A 25955-nucleotide genomic window follows, 5' to 3' on the forward strand; every position below is an offset into this window, starting at 1 on the left:
GTTGGAATGAGGGTCCTTAGGCAGTGTAGGGACTGGAGCCAGTGTAGGGAAGAGCTGGCCTGAATCCAGCTGGGTCTCTGTCAGATGTCCCTGGAGGACTCGTGTGGAGTTCAGTGGTGGCTTTTCCTCCCTGATGTAGTGAGGCTGCATCTTCCTCAGCTGGCTGCTGAGTTCACGTGGGCATTGGGGTTTGTGTTTGTTTTATTTTGCTACTTTAACAACATTCCCTTCCTTACATGAGGGCTGTGCAAGGCCTAGGTTTGAGCTCAAGTGATGTCTTAATGGAGGGAAAGTGCCCATTTTCATCCAGGTTGGTATCAAAGATGGCTCTGCAGAGGAGGCCACGTTTGAGCTGGATCCATGACAGGTAGGAGCTTATCAAATGTGAGCCAGCGAGACAGGACAGCATTGAGGGGGCATAGGCCACTGCTTCACCAAACGAGGAGCATGGCGGAGTGGGCTCAGGGGGTTGGCATGGCTGAAAAGGGCAGGGCATTATTTTCATCTGTTGAGTCTGGGCACACCTGCTTAGTTGGGTGAAGTCTGATCAGTGATCAGGGCCCAACACTGGCAAGTGGCCCAGTGGCCCAGCAGGTGGTCTGAGATGGTGAGGCAAGAAGGTTTTACTGGAAGGTGGGTTCATGGGTTAGGATTGGAACTGCCTCAGGCCTAGGACAGCCCGCCTGCAGGAGATGGGAACATAAACCAAGTGAAGGCAGGGTTCTTTTATGTGACCTGGATCCTGGGTAGGGGTCCCGGAATGTCCCTATCAGATGAGAAACTCTGACTTCAGGGCCGGTGACCAGCTTGAGGGCTTCTGCCCAGGCAGAACTAGCAGGGCACCTGGCTGGCATCTGAGGGACTCACACAGCTTTGCCACTTGCTGTCACCAGCCTCACTTCCTCTGGGAATTGAGGCAGGCCCAAACCTGGGATGGGAGTACATAGGAGCCCAGCATGGGTGCTGGTGAAGGCAGATGTAGGTGGTAGGAGGTGAGGCCTGATTGGCGATCCTAATTCTAAGCATCAACTCTGATTTTTTAGAAGTGAACAAATCTCCAAATACAATCATGCATCACTAAATGACAGGGAAGCATTCTGAGAAATGCATCCTTAGGTGATTTTATCATTGTGTGAACATCATAAAGTGAACTTACACAAATCTAGATGGTGTAGCCTATTTATTACACACCTAGGTTATATGGTATATCCTATTACACACCTAGGTTATATGGTATAGCCTATTGCTCCCAAGCTGCAAACCTGCACAGCACGTTACTGTCCTGAAAACTGTAAGCAGTTATAACACATGGTATTTTTGTATCTAAACATAGAAAAGATATGTAAAAATAAGACATTGTAATCCATGGGACCACGTCGTATATGCAGTTCCTTTTTGACCCAGTTATGGGGCACATGAGTGCGGCTGAATCAGGATTTCTAAATATTTAATGACAATATAACTGACAATCAAATTTTTTACAAAGCTACAAAACCTTTGAGAAAATAGCATGCTGGCCTGTGTGCATGCCTTTAAGCAGTATTCTGTGGCATGGATTCAATGAAATTTCAGCTCCAGTGGCAGTAAGAAGTGTTTTTTTTCCAGGCCAGTGATCTCTGCTCCATTTGCCAAGGTGTGCACCTTCATGCAGAAAGCTGCTGGACGAGGCTGATTCAGCGCCTGCTGCCTAAGGACCTGGAGCCTTTTTGACGTTGCAGTTGGACCTTTATCTCTGGTCCTGCTGTATTCCAGGGCCCTCCCCGGCGATATGACATAGGGTGTGCTCTGGCCTTCTTTTAAATTCCCAAATGGAAATGGTGCTTTTTATTCCCTCCCTGGTGTATGCCTAGGTGAGGAGTAGATGCCACGTTGTGCTGCTTCGTGAGGACAGACCTCACTATCTGACCCGCTTGCTCCTTGCTGACTATCCTGATCTCTATAGGGGGATGGTGCTCCCCTCCCCTGGGGCAGGGTGTTCTGGCTCTCCATCATGTAATCCACACCACCTGGGCTTGAGGGCTTATGCTCTGAGTCCTTCCAGCTGAAGGCTTCTGACATGCAATAAACCATGTCTCTTGCAACTCAAGGTCTTGGCTTTTAAAACTCAGAATTCTGTTCTCATTCTGCTTGCTATGTATATATCCCCCTTGAGACAAAAATGCTACAGACTGAATGAGGGAATTGGTAGGAGACAAGGAAATGAGACCCACAATGATGACAGCAACAATAAAGAGCACCACTGGTTATGGTAGCAAAAAAAAAAAAAAAAAAAAAAACCTAATTGTGCCAACAACAACAAAAGAAACTCATCTCAAAAACAGGCCTTTATATTACTTCAAGATTGATTTTAACTTCTAAGGCTACATTGCCAACCAGGTCAGTGTTTTGTCTCAGGCTACACTAAAGTTTTTCAAAGTTTCCTTTCTTTTTTACATTTTTTTGGCCAAGTACACATACACACACTCCTTAGCCCTCACTCCCAGGCAGGTTGACTGTGGTCTAGTGCCTCAGAAAGAGACATGGTTAAACTCCAGTTGAGCTTTTGCTTCTCGTAATAGCCAGTCCACTCAGTGGAGATTTCAGTTTTTAGTGTTTGCATTGTATAGACAAAGGGAGCATCTGTGAGAGTTACTCATGTTCTTTACCTTACAAGCGGTATTTGTATCATGGACGTGGGGCACACAACTCAACTGGGGTCTCCCTGCCCCTGGCAAAGCAGGAACTCAGCTTGATACGACCCATTTCCATGTCCCCCATTTCCATGGTCTTTCTAGTGAGTATCCCCACTTCCCAGTTTTGCTTCTGATGGCTGGGTCTGCATATGCTCTTCCTGCTTTGTCCTGGGTCAGCCAGATCAAAAATCACTCCATTGGTGGTAACCAGGAGATAAATCACCATGCCCTGTGTGAGTGACCATGGAGGGTCCCGTTAGCCACGTACAGCTTTCTTGGGAATGGCTGGTATGCTTGATTTGGATAGCTCAAGAAGGCAGAGTATGAGCCCATGGCTGGAAAGTAGAGAGAGGCAAATGGAAGCTTGGTTTCTAACAGAGCATCGTGATGCTGGATAGTGGGCAGAATGACCTGGAGGAAATTGGAATCACCATGGACTCGCAGTCAGGAGCCCTCAGTGGAAGAGGACCTTGTGCTCACAGGACAGACATGCCCATGGCATGTTGCCTAACACCTCTGAGTCTCAGTTTCCTGTTAGTACAAAGGGTCAGTAATTTGAGTACGTGTATTTTAGCGCTGCTGTAAAAGTTCAGTGAGGGAATATTCATAGAGCTCCCGGCCCTTGGCCCCGCTTGGATGCCACCCTGTTTCTCCTCCTTCACCCCTTTCCCCTTTCCTATTCCAGTGTCTTCGTAACTGGAAACACTGGGAGTGTTCCATGTGAGTCTGGGTGGTGACTTGACAGGGTTATAGACAAGGGATTCACCTACGTGGTGAGGGGATGGGCAAGAACTCAGCAGCAAGTTTTTATTTGTTTAATTTTTAAAGAGATGAAAAACATTTCTTCAAAAAAAAGTTTAATAAGAAACCCAATATGCAGACCACAAATTAAACAGTGGCTCTGGCTGGACAGGAGAGGGAACATCATAGCCCTGTGGCCCGTCCTGTGCGTTTGCACCTAAGACAACTCACCAAACACCCAGCATGCCTGTGTCCACACTCTGAAAACCACTGGGCTGGATCATTTTTTAAACATTCCTAAAACACTTAGGTGTCTTCGCAGAAAGTTTAGGGAAAGAAAAGTATGACCCTGTAGGGCCAGGCTCACTCCTGTAATCCCAGCACTTTGGGAGGCTGAGGCGGGCAGATCACTTGAGGTCAGGAGTTCAAGACCAGCCTGGCCAACATGGTTAAACCCCATCTCTATAAAAAACACATAAATTAGCCAGGCATAGTGGTGGGTGCCTGTAATCCCAGCTACTCAGGAGGCTGAGGCAGCAGAATCGCTTGAACTCGGGAAACAGAGGTTGCGGTGAGCCGAGATCGCACCACTGCACTCCAGTGTGAGCGACAGAGCGAGACTCCATTTCAAAAAAATATATATGACCCTGTAGGATAAACATGACAGCAGGCTAAAGTGCTGATTGTGGGCTTGTGTTTCAGGTGTCTCCATGCGAGAGGTGTCGCTGTGAAGCCAACGGTGAGGTGCTATGCACAGTGTCAGCGTGTCCCCAGACGGAGTGTGTGGACCCTGTGTACGAGCCTGATCAGTGCTGTCCCATCTGCAAAAATGGTATGTGAGATCCCCGTTGGTGACGGGGTGCACCTCCCACCCTGATGCACAACCCATGTGCTGCTTCATGGTAGACGGGACACATACGGATACGTGAGTTTCATCCTATGTATCAATACACATGCGTACACACGTGTGTAATCTTTCAGCCACAGTGGTTCTGTAGCAAGGCCTTCTCTCTCTTACTGGCATCAGCACCATGTTTTATGGATGTTAAGAAGTTCTTTGGGGAGAAATTCAATTTCCACCTTTGAGGAGAGTCACTTATTTTAATTTAACTTTGTTTGTTCTTGCAAAGCTGTTTCTATCTTTCCAAGACACATTAAACACACTGGTTGGGCTCATTTACTTTTCATTACTAAGTGAATGAAACTTGGAACATAATTGAATATTTTTCATAAGCAAATTAGGCAGGAAGAGAGTCCCTTCCTATTCCCAGTGAGAGCCCCTGGTAGATCAGAAGCCTTGCTTACTTTATGAAAATGAAGTGGCAGGATGTCCTTGATCCTAATTTGTCATGGGAGAGTGTTTCCTCATCCTGACAAACGATGATTACTCTGTACCTGAGGTACTGAGGGCATTACACTATAAGACGGTTTTTGACAAGAGTGCATACCCAGGCTGGCTGGGCCTGAGAATTATGGCCCGGAGGGCAGTTTGACAAGAGGCTGAGCAGAGCTTGGGAAACAGCGGACAGAGGGGACACAGCCGGAGTCTACAAGGATCTGAGTGGCCTCGCTGACAGGAGCGACTGGGCTTTCTGGATGTTGCCCAGGGTATGCTGTGGGGACCCCTGGTTGAGAGCATTCAGAGCTAACTTGTGATGCTGTCGGCCGTTCATGTGGGTTGCTGGACCGAGGCTTGATAGCTGTGTGGCATGGGTTTGGTATGTGGCAGGCATGTGTTGGTGGATGGTGACACAGGGGTGGTCATGGTGCTCAGACAATTCCCAGAGTCTGTCATGACAGTCGAAATTGTGCGGGCCATGAGGTTCCATGGGTACCTTCGACCACGTACCTGTACATATCCAGATTTTACTACAACACATTGTAAAACTCTTGAGGTAAATAATTGGAAGAGGGAATGATGTTGCTGTTGAAGGATAGACCTGAAAGAACAAGATGACTGTGTTAGGAATGTCATAATCATTGTAGCATAGTACATCCAGTCCTCCAAAGGCAAGTGGACAGTGTTAAAACAAAGATGTCACAGAGTGTACTTTATATAGGGTTGGCTGGTCTCTTGTGCATGTTAATTATGAAGAAATCCTGAGGTAGGATTCCATTAGACAAGAACGAGGGGGACTTTGAGCATGGAGTGTGTTTTTTTTTTAAAAAAAAAAATGATGTTGAGACACCAGCTGTGAGATGGAGGGAAATCAATACAGTTTACTCTACTAGTGTTAATTACCACTAATTAACACTAATAAAGGGGGAAGAAGACTCTGGGATTGGGGAAGGAGAGGCAGATGGAGAATCTGGCAGAGTCTCGGTGTGGCTTTCAGCACACCCGCTGAGGAGCCCGAGTGAGCGCCTCTGGTCTGCTGGGAGAGCTGAGGGCTGGCGCTCAGGCCATGTGCCCTGCATGTCGGGGGTACTGGACGACAACAACTCTCACTGCGTCAAGGGGTTTAGTGAATGGCTTAAATATGGGTTGCTTAAATATTTGGCGTCTTAACTACCCAAGATATTCCATGTTTTTCCTGTAAATTTTGATTATAGACTAAGTCTTGGCATTAGATAGCCGGGAATCCTAGCTTGAGTGTTAACAATAGGTGAGAAGACAGGATTTCAACCCCTGGATTTTTTTTTCTTGCTTTTAGAGAAATTTCAAACCTACAGAAAAGTTGAAATAACTGTCCAGTGAACAATTGTATACCTTTAGCTACACCTGTTGCTAACACGTTGCCGTATTTGCTTTGTCTCTTTCTTTGGCCCTCTGTCTTTGGTTCTCTCCTGCCCCATCTCTCTATATACATAACCCAACACCATCAATATATTTACTTATTTTTTCTTTCCCATAAGACACATGGCACAAATTCTATTGAGACTACCACCAACCTGAAACCTACTGAATAGTGTTCAAGATTTTTTTAGAGTTTTTCTTTTGCCCTTAGGATTTATCCTTCTTAGAGCATACAGTCAGAGAACTACATTGAGCAGTTACTTGAATTAATACTTAAAAGTGTGCAGAAATGTTAAATTTACAAAGAAGTAATTTATTTCTGTGTTCAATTTTTTCATTTAAGATATAGTTATATTTTTGAGTAAAAAAATGTACAAAAACTAAACACTTTATAAATATTATATACCCAGAGATTCACAGTTTGTTTTAATATTGCATTGATGGTTTTGGGAGATGGTTGTTGTCCTGATGGTAAACTTCTAAATGTTGACCCTTTAACTCTATATTTTGAGAGGCAGTATGGGATGGAATAAGGCAAGATTTTGTGGTGGCCCATTAGAGATTTTTAGAAGGGAGATGAATATGTTTTTTAAAGCTAGATTTATATTACAGAAAGACTTCTATTATAAGGCTTGATGCAGTTATATCAAAACATCAACAACTTATTTTGGGGAGTATAACTGGAAATAAATTTAAATGTATCTAATCATGCACATACAATTACATTTCTTTTATTCACCAGATAGAGCTTGGCTTTCAGCTGTCTCTAGTTATAGGGTATTCTGACCTTGACAGGGAAAATGGGGTTTGAAATTCTTAGTAAAAGAGAGCTGCTTGAAAAATGAAAACAGTTTCTATGAAAAACAAATGCTCTATAATAACTGACTGAGATTAATGAATAATTTACAGTAGTCCAACCCTGCCTCCCCACATAAACAATGTTCTTGTAAAAAAATTATATGTTTGATATATCACAGATTAGAGGACATCAGAAATGAATGCTTTATATGAAATTAAAAGCTTGGATAGACTTATCTTGGATGAAATATGAAGGTTTTAACTCTTGATCTCCGTAGACCAGCCTTTACTCCTCACTCTGGCATGTCTTGACCTGTAGCATTAAATAGCTCTTTCTCCGACAGAAGGAAAATTACAGTTCAGTTGCTAGCTGCCAAAGTCACTTGCATCAAAGGAGCAGAAGTTGGAAACCAAGAATGCCTTGAATATAAATAAATGATCACAAATCAAATGTACTTTAATATATTCACTTTGTTGACTTGTGCAGATCAATCTCCCAGTGTTTTTCTTTTGATAAAATGGATGTTGCATGGCATTATTTGTTTTTAAATTCCACCCCCCCACAATGATACAAACAGTGAGTGTTATTTGACTTTCAACTATTCAGCTTTTCTCTGGTGATAGGTGCACAGCACCCATTCCGATCAAACCCCTTAGTTTTAGACATGCTTGTCTGCATTAAGTAGGCACTAGGCTCCCATTAGCGATCAGAAGACCTCCATTCTGCAAGTATACATGTCATCTTACTTTATGGATCCAAAGAAGAAAAATGATAAAAGTAGGACATTGGTGTTGAAATATGAGGACTTTGTCAGAATTAGCTGTGCTTCTCAAAGGTGGAATATGGTATCCAAGGGAGGATACGACATATGCCAAAAGCACAAAGCCACTGGATATAAAGGTTGTATATCTCCCTGAAGTATTACTGCCACCTGATGATTATTATTTGCAGCTTTATTTTTACAGGAAAACATTTTTTGGAGGAAAGTGAAAAACATTTATGACACTTTAAAGATAAACACTGAGACGTCAAATTATTAAACATACGTTCATGGGAAAATATGTAAGAAGCACTGACTGAGAATTAGGCAGAGTTTTGTTTGTTTTCCTATGTATTTCATAGAGTAGGATAAGATGGTAGTAAATGTCATGCAGTGGGTTAGACAAAACGGAATGGTGTGTGTGTGTGTGTTTGTGTGTGTGTGTGCGTGTGTGTGTGGTCATATCAAGATCCTCTCACAAAGAAAAGCCTGCTCCTATGTGGTCTCACCATTGAATCCTTCCAAAATTCTTACCAAGGAAATAATACAAATTTTATGAAAATTCTCTGTGATTATTTACAGATTACGTGATTGTGCCCATAAAAAATAAAGGAATTTACAAATATCAAAATGAACAGTTGATTTTAACAAGGATGTTTAGCAAGATCAGTGTTTGAAAATCAGCTGTATTTCTGTATACCAGAAAGAAATAGAAGTGAATTAAAAACTAGAGTTTCAAATAACATCATACAAATCAAATACTTTTGGAAGTAAATCTAACAAAATTGTGAAAAGTCTCCATACTTAAAAAACATGAATCTTTATTGAGAGAAATTAAAGAAGACCTAAGTAAAAGGAGGGATATATCATGTTCATGATTGAAAGACTCAATAACACAAAGATGTGAGTCTGCTTCAAAGTAATCTATTGATTCAGTACAAAATTCTAGCCAAAAATCCAATGGTTTTCTGTAGCAATTATCAAACTGATTCTAAAATCCAAATGGTATACAAAAGCTAAAGACTGGCTTGAGAAATATCCAAGAGGAACAACAAAGCTGGAAAATGTACAAATATTTAGACTCACTCCAAGAGATAGTAATTAGCCCGTTGTGGTTTGGTCCCAAAGAAAGACTGACAAATGGAACAGGACAAAGTCAGAAAAGGCCTGTGCATGTAAGACCACCAGCTGTGTGACTAACCTGACATCACAGGACAGTGGGAAAGGAGTAATCTTTCCAGTGAATTGTGCTAGACCAACTGAATAGCAGTATGGAGATAAAAGAGATCATGATTGCTACCTCACATTTGACAAAAAATCATTTCCAAACAGATTGCTGATTTAAATATGAAGGCTAAAACAATAATGCTTTTAGAGGAAAACATAGAACAGCTTTATCACTTTGAGTATGCAAAGGTTAAAAGAACATTAAAAGCACTAAACATAAGGAAATAATTTACAAATTGAACTTTTTAAAATTCAGAATCTTTGTTCACCAAACACTATTAAACAAGCACAATATAGCCCACATGTTTTGAGAAAATATTTGCAATATGTATAATTAACTAATATCTATTTAAATAATACCAACACATCCAAATAAAGCAGAGAGATACAAAAGAGAGAAAAGTATAAGGAGAGATTCCCAACTTTCTGTGTACATCAATTACCATTTTCCCAATTCCTCTGGTCAGCAAGATGAGTTTTCTTACTGAGTTTTAGGTAGTGGGCTGCCTTCATTATTTCTGTAACATTGCGTTTCCATGACAGGTCCTGTTCTTGGTGCATATATGAGAGAAAAAATAAAAAAATAGAAAAAAAGAACTTCCTGTTCTGCTGGAATTAAATTAGTATTAACCTGACATAGATTGTGATCACTTAAGATGCATTTTGTTATTCCTAGAACAATCACTAAGAAAATTAATAAAGGAATTAAACATGGCACATGAAAGAATTGTATATCTAATTTTAAAAGGCAGTCAAGGAGGAACAGAGGAACAACTGTCAGGATACTGATAGAAGGCAAGTAAAATTATATACATACATGTACTTAACAACAGAGCCCCAAAATACATGAAGTAAAAATTGATAGAATTCAAAGGAGAAATAGAGGCTTAAGTAATTGTAGTTGCAAATTCTGATAAACCATTAAATAATTCCTAGAAAATCTAGACAGAAAATGAACAATAATATAGAAGACTTGAATGGCACTAGTGAACTTGATCTGACATATATGTACAATATACCACCCATCCACTGAAGAATACTCATTTTTGCCAAGTGCAGGTGGACACTGTCTACAGTTGACCCTATGCTAAGACATAAAACAAGTCTCAATAAATTTAAAGGACTTAATCATATAAAGTTTCTTTTTTGAACACAACAGAATTTGAAAGGATTAAATTAGAATCAACAACAGAAGGAAATCTGGGAAATTGGAGATTATTTGGAAATTAAACAGCACATTTTAAATAACCCAAGGGCCAATGAAGAAATCTGAGAGATTTTAGAAAATGCTTTGAACTGATTTAATAATGAAAACAGAATGCACTATAGATTATTGGATGATGCTAAAGCAGTATTTAGAAGGAAATGTATAGATTTAAAGACCTATCTCTGAAAAGTAGAAAGGCCTCAAATCAGCAATGTAACCCTCTACCTTAAGGAACTAATAACTGATCAGCTAATTTTACTAAAAGCATGCAGAAGGAACTCAAAAATAGGAGCATAAATCCATTAGATAGAAACTAGTAAAGCTTAGGAAAAAGTAAATAAAACCAAGTTAGTTTTTGAAAGCTGGTTCTTAACAGTATTGATAAAATTGACAAAACTTTCACTAAACTAACCAAGAAAAAATTAGAGAAGACACAAGTCAGGAATGAAAGAGGGGCATCATTACTAACCCTACAAAAATGAAAATGATTACAAGGCAATACTATGAACAACTCTTTGCCAACAAATTAGAATAGTTGTAAGAAATGGACAGATTCCTAGGAAAACACAAATTACCAAAACTGACTCAGTTCATTTCTGAATTGTCCTAAAACAAATAAAATACAAATTAATAATTAAGAGCTTCCCACAAATAAAAGCTCAAGCCTACATATCTTTACTGGTGAATTCTTTCAAATATTCAAAGAAAGAAATAATACCAATCTTTTACAAACTCACCCAGGAAATAGAAGCAAAGGAAACACTTCCCTGTTTAGTTTCTGCATTTGTTGTGACCACAATGCTGAAGGTAGACAAAAACACCCCACAAAAAAGAAAGGTAGAAACAAATTTATTTCATGAACATAAATGGAAATCTCCTTAACAATGAGTTAATATCAGCAATCTGAATACAGCACCATATAAAGAATTATACACTTTAACCAAATGCAGTTGATTTCAGTCATGCAAGGTTTGGTTTACTGTCTCAAAAATCAATTAACATAATACATTAATAATGTAAATGATAACAAAAACCACATATGATCTCAACAGATGCAAAGAAGGAATTTGAAAAATCCAACACTCATTTATGATTGAAGCTTTCAACAAACTAGGCATAAAAGGGAACTTTCTCAATTTGATAAAGAGTAACTATGAATAATTCACAGCTAAAGCTATTATGAATACTCTCTCAATACTCCTAAAATCTAGGAGAAGGTAAGGATATCCATATTGACCACTTTCATCCATCAATGTAGTGGAGGTCTTATATACAGAGAGAAAGAGAAGGCAGGAGAAAAAGAGGAAGGAAAAGGAAATTAAGAAGTATAACTGCCTTTATTAGAAGATGTTATGCTCCTGTATGTGAAAATACCAAGAATTACACATACACGTGCATACACACACATACACATGCACACACATACACATGCATACACATTCACACACACAACTATGGAGGCTAATAAAGATTAATACCAGATACATATACAAAAATATACATTTTTGTAGTATACAATGGATAATACAAATGAAATTAAGAAAATAATTTCATTTAGAATAGCTTCAAAAAGAATAGATACTTAGAAACACATGTCACAATGCAAAATTTGTATACTAAAAGCTGCAAAATATTGCTGAAAGAAATCAAAGGACATATAAATAAATGGAGAGACATTTCATGAGTAGAAGACTCAATGTTGTCAAGATGTTAGTTCTTCCCAAATTAAAATATAAATTCAGTACAATTCCTACACAAATCCCAGCATACGTTTTTTGTAGAAATTGACAGTCTGATCCTATAATTCATGCAGAATGTAAAGGATAGCCAAAAGAAATTTTTAAAAGAACAAAGTTGGAAAATTTGTACTATCCCACTTTGTAACCTATTAGAAAATCACAATAATCAAGATACCATGGTATTGGTGCAAAGATAGACGATGGAAAAGAATTGACAGTCCCGAAAGAAATCCAGTATGCAAATCTTTACATATTTATTTTCAACCAATGTTGTAAGATACCTCAATCGGGAAAGAATAGTCTTTTCAACAAATGGTGCAGGGACAATTATATATTCACATGCAAAATAAAACTTAGACCCTTACTTTACACCGTATACACATTAACTCAAAATGAACCTTAGACCTAAATGTGAGTGTTTAAACTATGTAACTTTTAGATTAAAAAGATAGGAGAACATCTTTATGACTATAGGTTGTGTAAATATTTCTTAAAATTAATATCAAAATCATAATCCACAAAAGAAAAAACTAATAAATTGTCATCAAAATGAAAAATTTTTGCATCTCAAAACACACAACAAATAAAATGAAAATACAAGCCACAAACTTTGAGAAAACATTTGTAAATCATGTGTCTGATAAAAGACTTGTATCCAGGGTATATAAACAACTCACACAACTTGAAAAGAAGACAACCTATTTAAAAATGGGCAAAGGATTGAAAGACAGTTCAGCAAAAGAGACAAACAAATGACAAATAACCAATTAAGATGATGCTCAACCTCAACCTGGCTGTGTCCACACCCAAATCTCATCTTGAATTGTATTTCCTATAATCTCCACATGTTGTGGGAGGGAAATAGTGGAGGTGATTGAATCCTAGGGGTTGATGCTGTTCTTGTGATAGTGAGTTCCCATGAGAGCTGATGGTTTTATAAGAGGCTTTCTCCCCACTTCACTCTGCACTTTTCCTTGCTGCCATCATGTGAAGAAGGACATGTTTGTTTCCTCTTCTGCCATGATTGTAAGTTTCCTGAGGCCTCCCCAGCCACACAGAACTGTGAGTCAATTAAACCTCTTTCCTTTATAAATAACCCAGTCTTAGGATATTTAGCAGTATGAGAACAGTCTAATGCAATACTACTGTACCCCATTAGAATGTTTGTAATAAAAAGGACAGAAAGTACAGATGTTGGCAAAGATGTGGAGAAAATGGAAAAATATTGTTGGCAGAAATGTCAAGTGGTGCGCCTACTTTGGAAAACAGTTTGGCAGTTGCTTAAAAAGTTAAAGAAAACTTACCGTATATCCCAGTTATTCCTTCCTGAGATTATATCCCAGCAAAATGAGAACATATTTCCACACAAAGATATGTATGCAAATGTTCCTAGCAGATTATTATTATTCCTAGAATTATTATTAATGGCCAAAGAGTGGAAATAATGCAAATGTTCATTAACCAGTGAATGGATACACAAATGTAGTATATCCATGTACTGAATACTGTTTATCAGTAAAAAGGAATGAACTAATGATACTACAACATGGGTGAACCTCAAATACAGAAGCTGTTGCAAAAGATTACATATTTTATGCTTCTATTTCTTTGAAATATTTTGTGAAGGCAAATTTATATAGGAAGAAAATTGATCAGTGGTAGCCAAGAGCTATAATCAGAGTGGAGATTAGTCGCAAATCATCATGAGGGAATTTATTGAGGTGATGGTATGTTTATTAATTGAGTTGTTAGGTGGATACACAATTAATTAAATTCACTAAAATTCATTAAATTGTACACTTACACTGGGTGAGTTTTATGGTATGTAAAATATTCCTGAATAAACCTTCTAAAAATCTTGACCCTCTTAACAAAGATAGGCAAAGTGAAATTTTTGTAATTTCCTTTGACTCACTCCCAAGGCTAATCTTGATACACATCCTTTATCTTTCCCCAGAGACTGACTTTTCTAATCCTGGTCTGATGTCTTTAATAGCTTTATGAAATCTTCCTTCTTAAGCCTACTGAAGCTGAGACCCTTATAAGTATATATTATTTGCCAGTGTTAAAATAGAAACTTTAGACAAATTAAACTTAAGAGTTTATTTGAACAAAGGATTCATGAGTCAGGCAACACTCAGAAGCAGAAGAGGTTCAGAAAGTTCCACCCAGCAGTGTGAGCAGTGAGCTTCTATAGCCTGAACACAGAAGCAAAGTGGAGAAGTCACCTGGTTTGCTACAGCCTGACATCTGCCATATTTGGGTGTGGTGTGATGAGGCATTTCCCTTATTTGGGCATAGTCTGATCAGTTGGCTGCCTGTAATTGCTTGAAGCTCAGCTGTTTGTGATTGGCTGAAGCCCAGATATTGTTATGAAAAGATACTCCTAAATTATATTTTGGTTTGTTAGGTAGAAAGTCAAAATAAGAAGGTTGCCAATAGCCTCCTACTTATTTAATACCTGTTAGAGATAAGAAGTTGTACAGAAAAATAGGCAAAGAAACACAAGTCTATAGCTGGTTATAGATTTTTTGTACTCTCAGTTCCTTGTGCATAACGTGGAAGTCCAACTCCCCACATGTCCCGCTCTCCTGTTACTATTTTCTTGCCATGCAAATACCCTCTTTCTCCTTCAAGCAGTGTTCTTCTCCGTGTCATTCTAGGCTCTTCCTCTTTATGGATTCAGCTTCCCAGAAGATGGGGCTGAAAACTGAAAATGCAGGGAGAATGAAAGCCAGTGCCTGCCTCCTGCTCTCCTGCAGGCACTGCATACTGCTAAAACTGCAGAGCCCGCAACACAACACTCACCTGCTTTTTAGGACCAGTGATTCCCAAAGCCCCGTGTGTAGCAGAACCACTTCGAAGGCCTGGTGAAACACACTTTGGGGACCCATCCCTAGAGTGCCTGATCCAGAGGCTTGGCTGGGGCCTGAGAATTTGCATTTTAACAAACACTGTGTGCTTCTGTTGCTGCTGGTCTTCTGTTGCTGTGTGCTTCTGCTGCTGCTTTGAGAGCCACTGCTTTCGGGCACTCACTTGTTCATATTATTCTTGGATATTTCCTGCCAGTCAAATTTACTGAGAGAACACAGTGCTTATAAGGCTTTAAACATGAAATGAGATAAATTTGAGACTTCAAATGGATTCCAAATGCCTTAATTAATTTATGTTTGGTGTATTCTACGGATTTTAGGGTTTATGGAAATATATTAACGTGCAATAATACTTTAAAATTGGAAAATATCAGGGCAGAGAAAACATGGCTGTTGAATGGCAAATTAAGTCAGAAAGGTTTTATACAAAAATACACTCTCTATCATCATATACAGCTAGTTAGTACAGGTTGGCATAAAATTAGACTGTAGGCTTGCTAGCAGCCAAAGCAAAAAAGAGAACCATAGGAAGCATTAGCTACAATATTTAGCAGAAACACACAATTCTGTTTTTCTTGGTGCTGAAGCCTGGAGGAAATGACTCGCTGGTGAATTGTTTCCCTACAAATAAATACATAAATAAATGTTTAAATATTTAAAAGCTTTATTCAGTTCCTCCTGTTGGCATTTCCCAACATAAGTCAAGAACTCTACTCTGAAGTGCTAATGTACTTATTTTACACGTGTCTTCTGTTTTACTTGCATTTTGATTTTGTGGGAATGTTGATTCAGATGACATCCCATTAATCTGCATAAAGCCCAATGGGTATTAATTATTTATTCTTATTAGAGAAGAACCTCAGTATCCCAGCCTCTGCAATAAGTATTTTCACGCTGTTCTTCATCACTTCCTTTACTAATACTAACTCTGTGTTTGCTGTTGCTATTTCAGGCTTTAGTGTTCAGTATCAGCAGAAAAGAGTTCAGATAGTACTCCGATCTTTTCATTTCTGACAAACTAGATAAGGAGGATGAATAGGTAGCATCTGATCTCTTACATATAGGAATTTAATTTGTTTTTTATCTCTTCCTGAGATCTTTGAATTAGCACCTCTTCTTTGTAAATTTGAGAACAATTTAAAATGGCCCTTTTGCTTGCAAGCACTGGGGCAGAATCTTATTTTTAAGATAAATAAATAAAGTTACAGACAGACTGCCGCAAAGTATTGCTACCAGTTTATTGGGCTGAAGTACTTTTCAGAATTAAGTGTACTTCTAAACTGCTGGTCAGAAGGTGTGTGCTGGTGGTTTTATTTGTATGCTTCCTCAAGACAAACTTCCCATGCCTTTGGGAATGGATTTCAGACAAAGCCAGGGACTCAGATCAAAGACTGGTGTCCACTAGGCATGGCCATTACCAGTTACACTGTGCCTCTTGAACTTGTTGTTGAGGACCAGCCCTGGCGTCACTTCCCCATCTCTGCTTCTCTTTAACTCTCACTGAGTCTGTATAAATGTGTGTCCAGAGGTCCTTGTGGGAACTTTCTCCGGTTGCTTCCTAATGGAGGTTGATTTCACTCGTGGCTATTCTCAGAAGCCACAGTCCTAATCCCATTGTATTCTTATGCCATTGATACTGAGTGTAGGAATTGTATAGACACCATGTTTTGTTGGACCCTTTGTTTTTCAGATTGTTGGAGAAAAGTGTGTTGTATGTATGTGCATGCATTTTTATATATATTGTAGCATATATATGGCACTCTTATAAAACACTGAGGCACTTATTGTTTATTTCACTGCATGTATAAAGATGAGTCAAGCAATGGTGCCTGCCTTTAATGATCTCACAGTCTAGAGGTGAGGTAGCCTTGTAAATAACTTGTGTTTGCTGTTTTACTTCAATTATGATAAAAGTAGTGAGGGAGAGAGGGGGAAGAAGTGAGTAATACTGCAGTAAGCATCACAATGTATATGGCCTTTTTTGCCTTTGAATTCTTACATTAGGAGAAACTCTCAGGAGTGAGATTATTAGGTTGACATCTTAGGATATTTTATGACTCTGATACATATCACCATGTTGTTTTAAAAAAGGTTGTGTAAATGTATAAAGCCTCTGATTTTATTATAACATTGCCAACCTTTTGTTAAACTATAGAAAAATGATGCCTCATTATTTCAATATTAAGCACATAAACCTTACAATATTTTAGATGGTAATTTTTCCACAATGTATTATACTTCTCTACCTTATTGGCAAAATAATTTTGAACATAATTTAAATGGTTCTTAATAACTGAAGACCCTTGATGTGAAAACCAATGATCAGACTGCCCTGTAATACAATGGAGTATTATACAGTAAAACTTTGGTCAAGTAACTTGATTTCTCTGTATCCTTTTGGGTACCTGTAACTTGGAAATATTTAACATAGTGACATCAGTGGCTGCTTTGTGTCAATTAAATACCAGGATGAATTTCAAAGTCCTTCATTAATTCATTCAACAGATAATGACTCATCCTTTGCTGTACGCCACAAAAGAAAAAATGGCTAATAGGAAAACTTCCAAAACCATAGATTATGGGAAGAAAACAGGCAATTTCCATTGAATTTATGAAGGACACAGCATTGAGCAAGGAGAATGCCTGCTGCAGAGTGGGAGTGGGTCATGGAATGGGAGAAGAAGAGAAGGAGTGTGTGGGTTGTGGGCACAGCATATGTCCAGAGGGTGGGAGCGGACCATATTTATGCACTAGATTTGTTACTTAAGCCTGTAGTTGGAGGGAGAGTTGGAAAGTGTGAGGCAGGGATGTAAGAATGGATGCCGACTAGATTAGGAAGGACCTTGATACTTAATTAGGGAAGTTATTAGTAGATTTAATTCTGAGTCAATGACAAGCCAAAGAAGGGATTATAGGATGGAAATGGTGCAAATACATTTGACCTCCTGAAAGTCATTCTGGTTAAGGGTGTCTGAAAAGAGGCTATTGCAGTGATCCAGAGAAGGGCAATAGTTTGGACATGGGCAGTGAACACAGGGAGATGTGGTGCACTAAGGAGATACATCAAAGGTCAAGTCAACTGCACTTCATGGTTGACCATACAAGGTAGGGGGAGATCAAAAGTTTAAGAATGGGGCTCCACTTCTGATTTGGGTAATGACAAAGACCATGGGTTGGTCCCAGAGGCAGGAAGAATGGGAGGAAGAGCACATTGTAGCACCTTCTCTCAAGGGTCTTCAAGGAATAAAGGATGAATGTTTTAAGTGCTTATCTCATTCACTTACCAGATGATTTACTGGCATAAGAAGGGGAAAAACAGGAAAATCTGTGAGTTAACTGGAGAAAAAAACAACTGATGGATGCTTTTTTGTTCAGTGTTCTGAACTGTCAAGTTAGACTGAATTCCTTGAAGAAATAGTACAAAAAGCCTTGGCTTTGGAGCTAGACTGGCACATTCTAGCTTTATCCCTATCACCTTGTCTAATTTGCTTCCCCTCTTCAGTTTCTTCACTTACAAAATTGGGACAATCTTCCATTCATTCCCTGTGGGCTTAATATGAGGATTAAGGAAGTCAAGAGCCCACTGTTGAATCCAGACACTCAAGACTGCTTTCTCCCTGCCATTGGCCCCCTGGGACTCCACCCCAAATTGAGTTTCTTAAAGGTAATATCCACCTCCAAATTTTCTTTCAATCAACCTCTAAGACTTGTTGCCTGAACACTATGGCAGTTTGCCCAGTCTCAGGCAGTGGCCCCAAGCTGCAGAAGAGGTTAAATTTCCGGCTGTATTTCACAGGCAAGGCCCTCTGTTCTTTAGAAGATTATCCATTCATACTCTTTCACCATTATTCATCTGTTAAAAGCTGCTTGGTCATTAATACAGTGCTCTAAAATATCTCCAGCCTGTGTCTTCAGCAAAAGAAAAATCAATTGTCACAATATACAATAAAACTGTTCATCCTCAGGCAGATATCTTTACCACATCCACAGCATGATCAATGGCACCATTACCAGAGGTAACTTGAATTGCATCCAAAACACTTACATGGAACACATTCTGGTAGAAATGATCTGTCAGTGGTAGACAGTGTGAAGACAAATAACCCTGTAGATGACTTGCCCAATCTGTCTCCGTCTCCAGGAGAATAAGCCAATGAATATTCTTAGCAAGGATTTTCAGTGGGTGCTTCCAGGGAATGTAAAATACCCTCTTTGTTGATCAGAAGACACATTCTGCTCTTACACTAACAGCAAAACCCAAACCTTTTATTTGTCTTTCAGGAAGATAAACTTCAGGTATAAAAGAGTCCATTACCCCAGGAGGTATCCATAAACCTCCAATTCTGAAAATTGCATCTCATCTTTTCTAAAACAAATGCCTTCACTTAAGAGCAGTTACAATTTGCCAATCCTGACAGCTGCAAACTGAATTTATCTTTAATCACACATTCACTGAGTGTCTTTTGAAAGCACATCAGCCATCATGGAGTAAAGCATTATCATATAGGGGGAAAAACATTGCCAATTCATTAATTAGGAAAACAGAAATTTTTCAGATAATAAGAATTAAATGCCTCTGAAGAGTGTCTGAATTTTAGCCTATGCTATAACTTGATTCTTATAATACTGGTTACAAATAGCAGTTATTTGAACCTATTTTGTCACCTGATGAGCAGGCTAAGGTAGGTACAAAAGTATACATTAGACTTTACCCCAAAGACAGCCACCAAATGCTGAGCATGTCCACATCTAGGTAATCTTAGGAGGGAATGGCTAAAAATGGATGGCAATTGAAAGAAGGCAGATTGGGAAGTGATACAAAGAAAAATTTTCTAGTCATTAGAATTCCTATTACTTAAGTATTCAGAGGATGGGGAGCCAAATTCACAGAGAAATATTTCCCAAATTGGACTAGATTATTTGAAGAGCCCTTCAACACTAAAAATCTATTATTCTTTGACACTAATGCATAAATGTCTCAGACATCGTTACTCAGTGATCCATTTTGGGTGCACAGAAAGAACAGTTGTTTTTTTCTCCAGTTAACTCACAAATTTTCTTGTTTTTCCCCATCTTATGCCAGTCTGATGTCTTTAAGCACTTATGTCTTATGCCAGTCTGATGTTTTAAGCACTGAAAACATTCATCCTTTATTCCTTGAAGACCCTTGAGAGAAGGTGCTGATCGCCTTTCCCCAAAGTGGAACAGAGCAACATCCAATCTGCATAGAGGCTCTGCAGGACCCCGAGAGAGAGTAGACCCTGAAGCAAGGGAGCTGGATCTGGCTAGACCTGCTGCCGGGGCCATCTGTGTTGCATGCACTTCACTTTCCTCATCTGGGAAAGGAGATTGAAAGTAAAATTGAAGATAAAAATATATATATATGTATATCTTCATATAAATATAAATTCATATATATATGAATTTGCCTTTAAAATAAAATATTATGTAAAGGAAGGCAACAGCCTCCTTTATATATATATTCAATATATATCATATATATTCAATAAAAATATATATATCTTCATATAAATATAAATTCATATATATATGAATTTGCCTTTAAAATAAAATATTATGTAAAGGAAGGCAACAGCCTCAGCAAATAAATTAAATGTGATTAATGTTTACGAAAAGTGTCACACATGTCCCAAAACCCAAACTTCGCTTATCTCCTAATAACTCAATTTTTGAAGCCCTCTCACTAGCCCCTTGGGAAGACAGACACCTTGGCATCCAACAGCTTCCTCGCTGGTCTGCAGTTCCCTCTGCCATGGCTGCATCCAGCCCTTCCTTCTGTATCGAACCTACACAAAACTGCCAATACATCTGTTCACCTGTTTTCGCTCTGTTGCTTACTCCATCCAGAATGCCTTAAACCCCTTCTCGAACAAATGGAACTCTACAGGAGTTCAAGGGTGGAGACAAATACCTGCCTCCTGCTTCACAAGGTCTCAGCTTTGTGTTCACAGAAAGCGTTGTGTGTGCCCCTGCTGTGACGCTCACAGTCTTGGGTGACATGACTCCTAGGCCACCTTTATGAACTTGCTCATTTCACACTGCATTCTCCATGACCAAGTCCTCTGAAACATGAGGGACATGCAGCCAAAACACGGGCCATGCTGTGCAGCCTAAAATGTAAAATACTGCATGCTGTTTCTTTATATTGTAGGGGAAAAATAACATAGGTTTGTAGTGGGGAGACCTGTTACAAAAGGCAAGTTAAGAGAAACCAACAAGTTTATTCACATGTATATTTCATACATACATGGGAGATACCCAGAGAATGAGTAGTTCTCAAAGAGGTGGCTTTGAATTCCAGCTGATAACAAGGAACAGTAAATTTTTAGAGAAGTAAGGAGACAAAAGAAAAGGACTTTGATTCTCTAAGGGGGGCCCGTGGGGGAGGGCAAATAACTGGCAGATAGAGACTAGTTTGTGATGCTTGTTAGTGTGGGCTCCTCTGGTACCATCTCAGGTCCAGGAGGGTCTCTGTTCTCCCTGGTAGAGGGGGACAAGTAGGGTACCTTTAGTCTTTGTAACACCATGTCCTATAAATAGAGGGAGGGCATTGAGCTTTCCTGTATCTGCTTCTTCTTAATTGTCTTCAGCTCAACAATCCTCCCTATTTTGGGAGGTGTATTTTGGTCTCTCACAATATATTTCTAAGATTTTAATCCTTTCTAAATAAAGTGAGATTAGAAACACCAACCTTCCTGTCATTACTTCATTACTTTGAGAGAGATTGACCCTCACAACCTCCCTGAAGCTCTTGAAGAGATTGATGATGATTTCTTACCTCTTGTAAACATTAGGTAGGTGCCATTACTTTTAATACCTCAGGAACGCCCTACCCCACAGCCGCTCTGTAGCTCTGAGCCCATTTGGAGTGCTGGAAACATCTCACAGGCAACTTCTCCACACTCCAGGCACCATGAACGATGATTACCGTGGCAGCCCGCAGTCATTATTGAAAATACACCATCAGAATAATGAAGATGCTAAGACTCTCCCCTCTGGCTCCCATGAGTAATGAAAGCCTGAAGGAAGGGCTCATTCATTAAGATTTTATAAGCAGAGGAGAATAAATGGATATTTGTTTTAAAGAAATTCATTTCTGTCCAATATTCTAATTTTGAGGAACTTTGTAGGGAATACAAATTTATTTTTAAAAAGGATTAAAATGAAGTTCAGTTACTGCAAGTGAGTCTTTGAACTAAGTACTCTTGAAATGTTTCATTAGTAACATTTTGTTCAAAAATTCTAATGGAACTGACAAGAATTTGACTTTTGTTTCATTGTCTAAAGAATGTAAATATGGTCATTGCACATACCAGGAATGCAGAGAGTAAAGTGTACCTCACTTACATTGACTCTTCCCCATCATTTATCCTTGCAATGCCTTGCGATCCCTGATTAAACACAGAAATCTAGCACCTGAAACTTATCAAAAAGATGAACATTGACAGTCATCCCTCATAGGTGCAGCCCAGGTGCAGGCTGAGGAAGGCTGGCAGGCATAGGTGCAGCCCAGGTACAGGCTGAGGAAGGCTGGCGGGACAAGAGTTCTATGCAGTGATGAGCGTGGTCAGGTAAGAGCTGTCCTTCAGCCTGCACCACCTATGGAACTACAGTCTGGAGATGAGCTGCCCAGCCCTCCCCGCCCAGGATGCTGAATGAAGGGCTTGTTTTCATGTTAGCCAATATTATCACAACAAAAGTAACTAACTCATTCTATGAACTTTTCCATTTTGCAACTAATCCTTTCATTAGCAATGAGGAAGGAAGCAGGGAGGGAAAGAGGACATTTAGCCAACTTTTAATATTGATTTTTGCTTTTGCAAGGATATTGATGAGTGTTTAATATGCACAGTTTGCCCAGTCATTGTTGGAGGCTGCAGTAAACTCACTGGCCAGATACAAACAAAATGGAAAACATAAATTTGCTGAAGAAACATCAGCTTCTAGTTCAAAAGTTAATAGTTACAGTAAGAAGAGGATCTCAAGACAATGATGTAACACACTTGGCAGTAGAAGGAATATTTACTTGTCACTCTCTGAACCATGAATGCTCATTGATAGCAGATGAGAATTTTACCCTAGATTAACATGACTCATTTTCAACTGCAATTTTCTAATAGTTGTGCAAAAAGTAAAACAAATCCTGCTACTACATTGACTCCAATAGCACAAGAAAAAAGCAGCAAAACATTAAATAATGTCAGTTTTATATCAGTGTCTTACATGCTTCAAGTAGAAAAACAATTCCGTAATTTTCAAAGTTAGTAATTAAAAACAAATCTATTCTTGGATGAAAAAAAAAAAAGCTTTTGGAAGTTGATTCTGTGAGTTAAAACATCTAATGCTATTGCAAATTGTATTTTAAATTCATTTAAAGAATTCAGTGTTAAAAGTACAATTATTTTTTGACTCATACTTTGGATAAATTTTGGCAGGAGCAGAGTGTCATAAAAACCATGATTTAACTTAAGAAACCAACAGAGTACAAGTCCCCTTGAATTTGATTGTGTTGCAATATTCATAATTGCATCTAAACAAGCTGTGACATTCTAGAAATAAATATAGAAGCTATAATTGTCAAAATTTAAAAATATTCTTATAAACCCATCTTTTTATGAATATAAAAAAATTCTCAGCATGGCAGTAGTGCTTTCTCTTTCATCAGTTGGAATTTCTTTAGAAATGGTTGAACTTTGGAAGACCTACTTTAAAGTCAATCTAAATTCCTAACAAAGTTTTTGACATTAAAAAAATTGAATTCTCTTTATTTTGGCTGCATATTTCTTTCCAACTAGAAATCTTTCATTACAGTATTCAACGAAGTAAAAAAAAAACTCTAGCTTTTGAAGTTTTAGAAAGTTGCCATTGTTAATGCAGTTATGCCCTGTCATATATCAATCACGTAGTGTTTTTAGTTTCTTCTTTTATAAATCATGCTTACTGAGGTAGACCTCACATATAATTAAAAGCCTGCCTTTTAAAGGTGCAGTTTATTTCTCACCTTTCTCCCCAGCCCTGGCCCCAAGCAGCTGGTGCTCGGCTTTGTCTCACTGTGGGTTTTTGTTTTTTGTTTTTTGTTTGAGACGGAGTCTTACTCTGTTGCCCAGGCTGGAGTGCAGGGCCAGGATCTCAGCTCACTGCAACCTCTGCCTCCAGGATTCAAGCGATTTGATTCTCCTGCCTCAGCCTCCTGAGTAGCTGGGATTACGGTCACCCACCACCACACCCAGCTAGTTTTTGTATTTTTAGTAGAGACAGGATTTCACCATGTTGGCCAGGCTGGTCTCGAACTCCTGGCTTCAAGTGATCTGCCTGCCTTGTCCTCCCAAAGTGCTCGGATTATCACTGTGGTTATTTTTAACCTGTGCTTTACAGAATTTCAGTTGAGAATCATGGAGTGTGAGTCTTTGTGTCTGGCTTCTTTCACTTGGTGATGTTTTTGAGGCTCACCTATGTTGTTGCCTGTATCAGTCCCTTCCTTTTTACTGTTGAGCAGTGCTCGCTTGTATAGACACAGCACACTTCATTCATTTACTACTTGGTGGAGATTTGAGATTTTAAGCTTCTGATTAGTATGAATAATGCTCCTGTGAGCTTTCATGGATAAGCCCTTGTGTAGAAATATGTTTATATTTGTCTTGGGTAGCTTCCCGGGAATGGAACTGTGGGAGTGAGTGGATGTGTTTTACTTCGTAAGAAACTGTCAAACAGTTTTCCAAAGTGGCTGTTCTGTTGAGCATTCCCTTCAGGAGTGCATGAGTGCTCCAGTGTGTTTTATAATTACATGATAATAGTTACGAGTATGGGTTCTCTGAATGGTAGGATATCACACAAGGACGCTTGGACAGATGAAAGACAGAACTCTTGGTTACAGCTTTGAATGAGAAGAGGCTGCCACTTGGGCTACACAGTGGGCTGCATCCAGGGACAGGGTAAAAGCAAGCTGGAATTATACAACCACGAAATGTACTCCCCATACGGAAGGAAAAAAGACTAAAGAGACTGACTCTAAGAGAGTCTAGATGTTGGACTCTGCAGAGAAAGGCTTCAAAGTAGCTATTAGGGTATGTTTAAAGATTTAAAGGAAAATATAATCTTCTGTATGGCAAGCGGGGTGGGGTGAGCTTGGTGGAGCTAGCTGGGATCCCTGGACATTGGGCATTTTGAATAATTCCAAATAAGAAGGTCCATTCCTGGGCCGTAAATATCCTGGGGCCCCCGGCAGTTGGGTATGTGTTTATTATAATTCAGCAGCGTTAGTGCCTAGTAAGGGAAGTAGATGTGGTGGTGGCTTAGCAAACTGCCTGCATAAAGGAATTGAAAGTTTTCAGCCATGACATCAAATGTAGGTCAAAACAGCACTTGTGAAATGTGATATTACACTGGTATTGCCTTGGTTGCCTTGGTACTGACAGAGATTAATTTTAGAAGGTCTAAGAGGTCTAGTGCACCTTAATATGCATTTCCATAACCACCAGTGATGAGCATCTTTTCATGTTGTTGATAGCCATTTTTATGTCCTATTTTTTGAAGTGCCTGTTCAAATCTTTGGCTCATTCTTTATTGTTATTCTTTTTATTGTTATTGTTATTCTGTCATATTTCTTGTTATTGACTTGAAAAAGTTAATACAAATCCTTCATCTAGTATATGTGTATATGGCATTTTCCCTCAGTCTGTGGCTTGCCTTTTCATTTTTAATGATATCTTTTAAGAAGAGCAGAATTTTTTAATTTTGATAAAGTTCAGTTTCTCAATTTTTCTTTTATGGCTTACTTTTTGGTCCTGTCTATGAAATATTTGCCTAATCCAAGGTCACAAGTTTCTCTTACATTGTCTTCCAGAAGTTTGTAATTTTAGCTCTCAGATTTATTTTCTGGGTACATGGAGGGAGATAAGAGTTGATGTTTGCTTTTGCCCATGTTGATATCTAGTTGTTTCAGTACCATTTTTTGAAAAGATTACCTTTTTCCTATTGAATTATCTTGACTTCTTTTGGTCAAAAATCAATTCACCATATGTGGGGACCTTTTTCCAAACCATTTATTCTTTTCCATTCATCTATAAGTTAATCCTTATGCCAATGTCAGACTCTTCTCTAGAATTATTGTAAACCTTGAAATTAAGTACTATAAGGTGTCCAACTTTATTTTTTAAAATTCCCTTAACCTTTGCATTTT

At 38.9% G+C, this 25955-nt stretch overlaps 1 protein-coding gene across 5 annotated transcripts in view; it reads left to right on the forward strand.

The window, feature by feature from the left end:
* VWC2 (von Willebrand factor C domain containing 2) overlaps positions 1-25955 on the forward strand; it is a 148568-nt gene that overhangs the window by 24958 nt on the left and 97655 nt on the right. For all 5 annotated transcript variants that reach the window (XR_001744720.2, XR_001744721.2, NR_136188.1 and 2 more), the window contains one exon: positions 4116-4245. Coding sequence is in view for 1 of the 5 variants with exons in the window: in NM_198570.5 (NP_940972.2) it covers positions 4116-4245 (130 nt within the window). In the remaining 4 variants the exon portion in view is untranslated. The remainder of the gene's footprint in view (positions 1-4115; positions 4246-25955) is intronic.

The sequence above is a fragment of the Homo sapiens genome, chromosome 7, assembly GCF_000001405.40.
Source record: "Homo sapiens chromosome 7, GRCh38.p14 Primary Assembly".
NCBI lineage: Eukaryota > Metazoa > Chordata > Mammalia > Primates > Hominidae > Homo > Homo sapiens.